Below are 9,280 nucleotides of genomic sequence, written 5' to 3' on the forward strand. Positions count from 1 at the left end.
ATATTATTTTATAACTTTTTTATCATTTGAGAATTACTCATGTTGATACTTGCAGCTGTTTCATTCATTTTCACTGCTGTATCTTTTAAATGCTGTGAAAACATCATTGAATGAATATTTGTAAGAACATGTGTGAGATGTTCGTGTCATAGGGTTTCTATCCTTTCAGCCTTACTCCAGATATTGCCAGATTCTCAAAGTGGTGGTGTGAATTCTCATTTGTCCACATTTAGTACAATATATTTGACAAACCGTTTTTATGAACAAATGTTTTAAGAACAAACATGTTTAAATACTCTTTGTCTAATGTGTATGCATCACTAAGTTATTTCCAAACAAGAATACTAGCTCTTACTAAGATGCACAAACTATAATGCAAGCGTTATACTTTACCATCTGAACTTTTTTGTTATTTTGTTTGAAATTGTGGATTGAGGCTTTCTGTAGTGAAGTACTTTCTTGGGGGTAATTCATAGGGCATTAGTTAAAGTGATAATGTCTTTCAGTAATTTTTTTTTTTTCCTGCTTGTATTGGAAGAAAAAAAATTTCTCCTTGTCTGTCTTTGCAGCTGTGCAAATTATTCCAGCATCAGTGCAATCTGCTACACCTACTACCATTAAAGTTATAAATAGTAGTGCGAAAGCAGCCAAAGTACAAAGAGCGCCGAGGATTTCAGGAGAAGATAGAAGCTCACCTGGGAACAGAACAGGTATTTTTGTATTTTCTTGTATTTATAAAATATATCTATCTAATTAGGTATATTTTGTTGTATTTTACTGTATGAAAAATGTGAATTTGGACTATCCCTCTGGCAGTTTTTAGACAGCATTTCTAGAAAAACAAAAATTGTTTTTGCCATGGCTGAGATTTAAACCACGGGACCAGTTTGTTGTCTTTGCCTTGGGCTAATCTATAACACTATAGCTAATGCTTTGTTCCTCTTACCAATTTAGGAAACAATGGCCAAATCCAACTATGGCAGTTTTTGCTAGAACTTCTTACTGATAAGGACGCTCGAGACTGCATTTCTTGGGTTGGTGATGAAGGTGAATTTAAGCTAAATCAGCCTGAACTGGTTGCACAGAAATGGGGACAGCGTAAAAATAAGCCTACGATGAACTATGAGAAACTCAGTCGTGCATTAAGGTAAGCCTTTATTACTTTTTTTTCTGTTATCAAAAATAGAAACTTTCTAAAAAATAGTTTCTTATTCTAGATGTAATAAGCATTGTTATGTAATGATATTAAAAACTTGTTTATGTTTTTTTCTTTACATATTAAAAAACCTTTTTAAAAAGATCTTAATAATTTCGAGGTACAGTTTTTTTTTTACAAAATTACTCTAAGATTGTTTGTTTTTATCTGATTTGAAAGCTATAATACTCTGTCCCAAAAAAAAATGTTTAATTTTTGAGGTTTTTATTATTTGCATAGATGAATTGAGTGTTAGTTTTTAATGAGTAAGCAGAAACTGTCCTCTGTTTTTACAATTACAAGCAGAATATTGACCCATTTTCTACACAATCTGCCTAAATCTGGATATCCAATCTTTACATTGATACAAACTCTCCGTAAGTAGTATAAGGTTTTTTGACAGAAATTACTATCAGAAATTATGCCTACTACAGTGATGGAAATTCAACAGGTACATTTAAGTATCTGAGAAGAAGGATATATAAGAATATCACGGAATTATGTCTGATTTTTTGGGAGATTGAATATAGTAAAATAGTTCTGCAATTCACGAGTTTTTCTAAATAGCATGCTTTTACTGCTTCTTCATGTTTCACTTGGCCATTTTCACACTGAAAGATTATAATTTAGCTCACACACACACACTCTCCCTTCCCCTTTCCATCCCTTCATCTCAGTATCCCAATATAATTATATGGAAATTTTGGTTCAGCGAGTATTCATTGTTACAGTATTACGGCCATGTAACTATTATTACATAGTTGGCTGTGATTATTTTTCTTTTCCTGAATGACCCTTTTTTTCTCAGAGTTCATGAGTAACTAAAATGTTTAGTTTTCAAAATGCTTATCCTTTACCATTCAGTCTCAAACACATTGCCAACTGTCTAAAGATTCTTCGTTTATAATCATAATTAAAGCTGCCATTTTTGAGAGTTGATACAGATTGTATACATACAAGTCCCCTCAAAATTACAGGTAAATTGTTAGAGTTAATAATTAAGATGTCAGTTCCCCCCCAGATTGATCTAAGTTTCAGTGCAGCAACTTAGTTTAATTTGAAAAATCAAACTAAGTTTTTCATAGAACTTGAGAAGATAATTGTAAAATTTACATGGGACTATAAAGTACCATGGTAGTCAGGACACCTGAAGATTAGCAAAGTGGAAAGACTTGTCCCACAGGATATTGAGACTGACTCTAAAGTTACAGTAATAAGACAGTTATGCTATTTTCTCAAGACAAATAGGCCATACAGTAGAATAGGGAGCCAAAATAGAACCAGGAATATGTAAGCATTTGATTTAAAGAAATGGCAGTGGGGAGAAAACATATGAGGAAACGACCTGCTTTTCAATAATCAGTGCTGGGATAATTTACTCTCCATCTCTGGGGAAAAGTAAAAGTTGACCTCTTGCTTATGCCGTACCAAAAATCAATTCCATGTAGCTTGTAGCTCTACATGTAAAAAGTAAAATAGAAAAGGATCTAGAAATACTTTCATAACTTCTGGTGGTAGGGAGACATTTAAACAGAATCAAAAGGACTAATTCTAAAGGGAAAGATCAATAAACTGGACTATATTTAAATTAGGAATTTCTGTTCGTTGAAAGCCTTATTAAGAGAGCCACACATGTCGGACAGAAGTATCTAGAATATCTAACCAATTCTTACAAATCAATTTTTTAATGGGCAAGAGACTTGAATAGACACCTCAGGCTAGAGATTATCCAAATGGCCAATGAATATATGCAAAGGTGTACGGCCTCATTAGTATTCAGAGTAATGCAATTGAAAACCATAATTAAATGGTACAACTCACCCCCTAGAGTGGCTACAATTTAAAAGATTGCCAGAACTAAGCTCTGTTGAGGATATGGAGCAATGGGAATGCTTCTACCCTTTTGATAGGAATGTAAATTGTAACAGTTGCTCCCCTAAGCAACTGTTTCATACACATCAAACAGAGATGTACTTCTATGCCCATACACATGTTCATAGCAGATTATTTATAACATCCAAACCCCAGAAACAACCAGATATCTATCAACAGTAGAGTGAATGAATCATTTATGGTATATTCATACAAGAATACCTTGCATTCTTGAAAACTAAGCTCCTGCTACAAACAATGACCAGTGAACCTCACAAACATAATGTTCAGTGACAGAATCCAGACCCAAAAGACCAAATTCTGTATGATTACATTTATTTAGTAAAGTTCAAAAAACAGGAAAATTAAATTTCAGTATTTAGGGATGCATGTTTGGGTGATAAAAATATAAAGAAAAAGCAGTCAAATTACTATCATGATACAGGCTTGTGTTTACCTTTTAGAGCCAGGATTTGGGGAGTGATTGGGAGGGGACATAAAGGGGATTCTAGATGCTGGCAGTGTTCTGTTTCTTGACCTGAGTGATACTTAACAGGTGAGTGAATGTTCACTTTGTAATAAATCACTGAACTGTTCACTTCTGTGTCCTTTTGTTTGTGTGATATATTTGCAATTAAAAAGTTTAAAAAAATACAAGTTTAAAAAAAAAGAGGGAAGAAAAGAAATCATATCCATGAAATACAGGTATTGTGTATCTTTCATTTTAGGGAGGCAACAAGTGGAATAAATGCTACTATATACAGTTGTGTGATGCATCTACTAGATCAAAAGAAGTATTCAGTAAAATTCAAATTTATGTGTGTATATTCTTTTTTATCACCTCTTACCAAGAAATATGATTATGCCAACTCCATTTTCCTCCTAGAATTATAAAACCTCTTTCCTTTTCCATTTTCCTTTTTTTCCCCACGTATAGTCTTACATATTAATGTAGAAATTTTTTAAAGCAATTGATATGCCTATAGCATTTTTAACTGGATGGCAAGGAATTGTTGGTTTATGAGCTGAAATCCAAATTCTGTACTAATGTAATTGACATAAATGGAAACTACAAGACTGCCCAATGTGTTATATCTCTTACTGGGAAATCAAACATAACTATTTTTCTTTTGCTATTCTGGAATTAGGGAAAGATGACAATTTCCTGTATATAGGTCAGTCCTTTCATTAATAGACTCTTGATTAAGCCAAGTGACTTTTATCCTGCTAAATGTGATAGTTTATATCTGGTACTTTTGCAAATAGTTGTTTCTTTTATAATAGCCCTTTGTCAGTGGGCAGTGCAATTTTAAAATAAGGGCTTTGCAATCTGCCAGTCGTGGAAAGAGCTTGACTTGCCTCTTTTTCCTGTTGTTGGAATTAGCAATACATAGTGTGTGTTTAAATAAAGTCTGTTTTCCAAAGGAAACATAAATCCAGCTCCATTTGCATCTCTATAGAATGCAGCAGTAAACTAGATTTCTAGAATGATTGCCGGAACTCTGCTTGTGTACGTTTAGAAACATTGTCTCTTTGCAATGTCCTTTACCTGTTTTTCTGTATCCTCTGTTTCTTTTAGACCTTTTCCTTAGACTTAAAGCTCCCTATTGGGCTTGGATAATTTATCTGAAATTTGGAAAGCGTTTACATAGTGAAATAATAAAGATGAAGACATGACTTCATCATATAGGATTCTTTACAAGACAGAAAAGAAGTGGAATATATGTATTAATTTTTTTTATATTATCGATTTTTATTAACATAGCTTATATTTTGTAGAGGGCTGTGTGCCAGTCATTGTATACTAAGCACTTTACAAAGATTATCCCTTTAATCCTCAACAATGATATGAGGGTATAAGCACTGTTAACCTCACTTTATAGATGAGGAATAAAAGCTTTGAGAAAATATGACTCCTGTGGTCTCAAAAATGTTAGGTTTTGAATCTTGGCTTTCTGACTCCAAAGCTCTTGTTCTTAGGCTCTTCTACTGCTCTCAAGGTTTTTTGTTTTGTTTAATAATTATTTTTAAATCAATGTTTTATTCTAATTGTTGAAAATATGTTTTGAAAGTTTAATGTATAGAGTTTTGGAGTAGTGAGCATTGAAATTTTAGTAAATAATGTTGGGATGTTTCATTTGATAGTAGCATTAAATATTCTACATAGCTTCAATATTAATTGCTATTGTGGCGGATGCAGTACTCTACTAGGCTTCTGCTTATGGAATAGTCTGTAAATTATTGTAAGAAGTCTCATTTTTTCTGAAGTCTCTAATTTTTTTTTCTCTTTTTGAAGATATTATTACGATGGGGACATGATTTGTAAAGTTCAAGGCAAGAGATTTGTGTACAAGTTTGTCTGTGACTTGAAGACTCTTATTGGATACAGTGCAGCGGAGTTGAACCGTTTGGTCACAGAATGTGAACAGAAGAAACTTGCAAAGATGCAGCTCCATGGAATTGCCCAGCCAGTCACAGCAGTAGCTCTGGCTACTGCTTCTCTGCAAACGGAAAAGGATAATTGAGCCCCAGGACATTCTGAGACTCCAAAGTCTTTCTTAAAATGTTTAGAGCAAGTATAGCTCTTACCTTTATTACTGAATTTGAATCTTCTTTTATTTCTAGGCTGTACAGTCTGATGCATGATTTTTTTATAAATATTTCATACTCTTGTGAATTTGGATCTTTTTACTTTGAGCATATATTTTAGAATATGTGTATGTTAAAGGATCTCCACAATGTCTGCAGTGTGAAGGCAGGTTCATTGTGGAATAGTTTAACAGTCAGGAAGGCTAAACTGGTCAGTATTAATGTGTAGCCCTACCAAAAATAGCCAGTAGTATCTGAAAATGAAAAATAAATGAAGTATCTCTAGGAAACAGTCTGGCTTAACTATTTTTGAAAATATAACTGTTTCCCCTCTCTGCTGCTTTAGATGTTGCTTTACATAGAACCAGAAAATGGAATTTCTCAGCTAAAGCATGTGTGCCTGTTTCATCTAATCAAGCAGAGCTAAAATGTTCATACCGAATAAATTTATATTAATAAATTACTAAACTAAGAGTATCAGGTTATTTATATATTTGCAAGCAAAGGACAGTAAGAAGTTGACTGGCAAAAGAGCAGTGCTGAAGGAGGAGATCCAGGTTTAAATCTGGCTTATTAACTCAAGCCAATTTTAAGGATTTTCTGTATAGATTACTCATGTCAGACCAAGAATTTAAATTATTTTGAGAGAGGCATTTAATTCTAATAAACCAGCTGTTATAAAAATTATAAAATGATCTCTGTTTTTCCTGTCAGAGATTTAAAAAACTGAAAAGGTATACCTCAACCCAAAAATAAAGGTTTGTTTTGGTTTGTTATGGCTTCCTTTTTTAAAAAATTACCCTGTAGTGCCAGTTTATTATGCAAAGCAGCTTATATTCCTTTGTTTCTGATAAAATGAAGACTTTAAATCAGTCAGTAGTACTTTACCTTTCAAGGCATTAGTAAATTACTTGCAAATAGTTTTAAAAGGAAAATACGACCTTTGTTATAGGCAGTCTTCTCTTTAAGACAATACTTTTCCACTTGTTTTCCTTTTCCATATTATATATGTGTATTCATATAGCTGTATACATATTCAGTTGATCATTTTATAAACATATGAAGGCATAAAGATATACAGAAGAAAAATTATTAAACAACTCATTTTAAGATTCAAATTAACTAATTCCTGCATATATGACATTCCTTACATAAGCGAACACTAAACAAAAATGGCTAGAAATGTCTTTTTCTTTCTTTTCTCTCTTTGTTGTTTAAGGTATTAAGCACGAATTATTACATGAGACTGGCAGATAGCTATTAATCCTCTTACAGATTTGAGAAAGTTGATTCTCAAATATTTATGCACCTTCTCCTTCATTGTTTTCTTTAAATCTGTCCTCTTAAAAAGCTTCTTAAGAGCTCAGTTAATGCTTTTGACTTAACTAGGAGAAAAAGGCATGATAATACAGGCAAGATGGCATTGTTAGCAATTCTGGTAGTGGTTTGGAATGAATCCTAAGAGGCAGGGATCTTAAGGACAAGGAAGAGAAGAGAGAGAGGGAGGGATCTTTGATCTCTTTCTCTGGTAATCTTAATGCATAATTTTACTAAAACATGTTCTCAATTCATTCATATTATTAAGCTCTTCCTGCAGTTGATATCTGAGCAGAGTAAGATTTGTATTTCCATTTTTACTTTTTTGAAAGAGAATATATGGACAGATTATTAGTACAATTTGGGCACTGTGGTTTTAAGAATATCTGAGTAAAATAACAATATGAAATAATAAACAGAAGCTCTAACGTCAGGTAACAAATAGACAGCAAGAAAGGTTTTGCACCATCCTCTTACGGCCTAGAGAGTTGACAAGTTGCTTGTAGTTTTAAAAAAATAATAAAGTATACCCTTCTGGTATATCATCAAGAGCTTAAGAATCTTGGCTTTCATATTTAAAATGCTTTTGGGGAGACATATATTAAAATTTTAGCCAAGATGATAGACATGTCTCAATTATATATGTGTGTGTATGTTTTTAAAGCTAAAAACATTACTTTTAGATCCCTAGAATGAAAATTTTTTTCTCATCTATGCAATTCCCATATGGTTTTTTTTTAAATCATATTTTATTCATTTTCTCCCTTTAGCAATTTTCATTTTATTTCTCATAATTTGAACAGAGACAGTTCTCATACATGATCAGATGCTTTTTTTTTCTTCTTACCATCATTTATGCATGACATAGGTAATGTGACTAATTTCTCCAGTTGATTCAAGAAACTCATTACTTTGCCTCAAATTATATGTAAAATATTTGTTTTACTTAGGTTACAGTTATCAGAAAGGTAGTTTTTTTCTTCTATTAAAATATAACATTGTGAAAGAAAATAAAATTTATGCTATTCTTTGCTTTGTTTTTATAAATGAATTTTTCATAGAATTTACAGTATATTCAAAGGAAGAAAGATAAAATTATTGGTCATCATTTGTACCTTAGAAGTACAAGAATTTAAGTAAAAGAAATGTTCATTTTTGTTTTAAAATTTGTTTTCCATGTGAAGTTTTTATTGAGCCAACTTTCATACATATCTTGCTAGCCTAAAGTCTAAATATTTGTGTTGGCATCAGAAAAACAAATGAGGCAGAATTGCTATGTGTGGTTGATCTTCAGATAAATTGACTGATCACAGTTATTTTTGTATCAGTCTATGTTATTAGGAAAAATTGTTTAGTTGTTTTCTCCCCTGATTAATGGTGATATTCAAGTATGATACAAAAAGAATTGTACCACCAAATATTTTTGTGAGGTCTGCTGTTTTCCATATTCATTTTATGCTACTGCCTTTAAGAAAGAACTAGTGTATCCTTGAAATAGCACAAAAATGTTTTAAAATTCATAATTGCAAAACAAATCTGTGACTAACTTAATGTCTTCAGATCTAAAGGGTGTAAAAATATTGATACTTCAATATTTCACTTGCTGCCAGGAAAAACAAAATTCTCAATCTTTTGTAAATGGGAGGAGGACTTTTGCATACATTTTTACTCTTTAAATAACGACAACGACACTTATACTGTCATAATAACAATTATGTATTTCTTTGTGGTTTTAATTTTTTTTGTAATTTTACATAAAACAGTTATTTTCTATTTTTACGCAGATAAATATTTGTGCATAAAATGTAAAAATAGTAAAATGAGAAAAATAAAACTATTATACAGTATGTTTCTGTGTTGCTTAAAAGTTTTTTTTCCTGAAAACAAAATCTTAAATCCCCAGGATATTTTGTTGGATAGTAATCTGACAGTCCACTTATGATACGTTGTACATAGGATTCCGATGCATTTTTAAACTTAAAAGCTGTCAATTTGGGAAGAACATATTTCACTGAACTAAAATTAGTAGGTTCATCTCTTTGAGGAAATTAATGAAATTCCATCTACAAAGCCAAGTTGTTTTAGAATAGTAACAGATGAAGCTGTCAGAAGGCAAGCTGATGATTGCTAAATTGTAAACCTTTCATAAAGCCTTTTTTTTTAACAAACAAAAAATCACCTGTTCATGTTGGCTATCAGCAGGTTGCTTCAGCCAGAATCAGAATATAGAAGAATGGAAAGGGTTAGGAAAAAGTGATTCATGCCTGCCTTCATGGTGAAGCAATGATGAAAGTTTGATTGACATGC

The 9,280-nt window shown here is 32.0% G+C and overlaps 1 protein-coding gene across 8 annotated transcripts in view; it reads left to right on the top strand.

Annotated features, from left to right (window-relative positions):
- The window catches only part of GABPA (GA binding protein transcription factor subunit alpha), a 37,489-nt gene extending 28,669 nt beyond the window's left edge, over window positions 1-8,820 (top strand). For all 8 annotated transcript variants that reach the window (XM_017028313.3, NM_002040.4, XM_047440738.1 and 5 more), the window contains 3 exons: window positions 570-710; window positions 955-1,147; window positions 5,364-8,820. In XM_017028313.3, coding sequence (XP_016883802.1) covers window positions 570-710; window positions 955-1,147; window positions 5,364-5,592 — 563 coding nt within the window. In that variant the 3' untranslated portion in view covers window positions 5,593-8,820. The remainder of the gene's footprint in view (window positions 1-569; window positions 711-954; window positions 1,148-5,363) is intronic.
- Window positions 8,821-9,280: the final 460 nt, after the last annotated feature.

Source organism: Homo sapiens, chromosome 21 (assembly GCF_000001405.40).
Source record: "Homo sapiens chromosome 21, GRCh38.p14 Primary Assembly".
In the NCBI taxonomy this organism is placed as follows: Eukaryota; Metazoa; Chordata; class Mammalia; order Primates; family Hominidae; genus Homo; species Homo sapiens.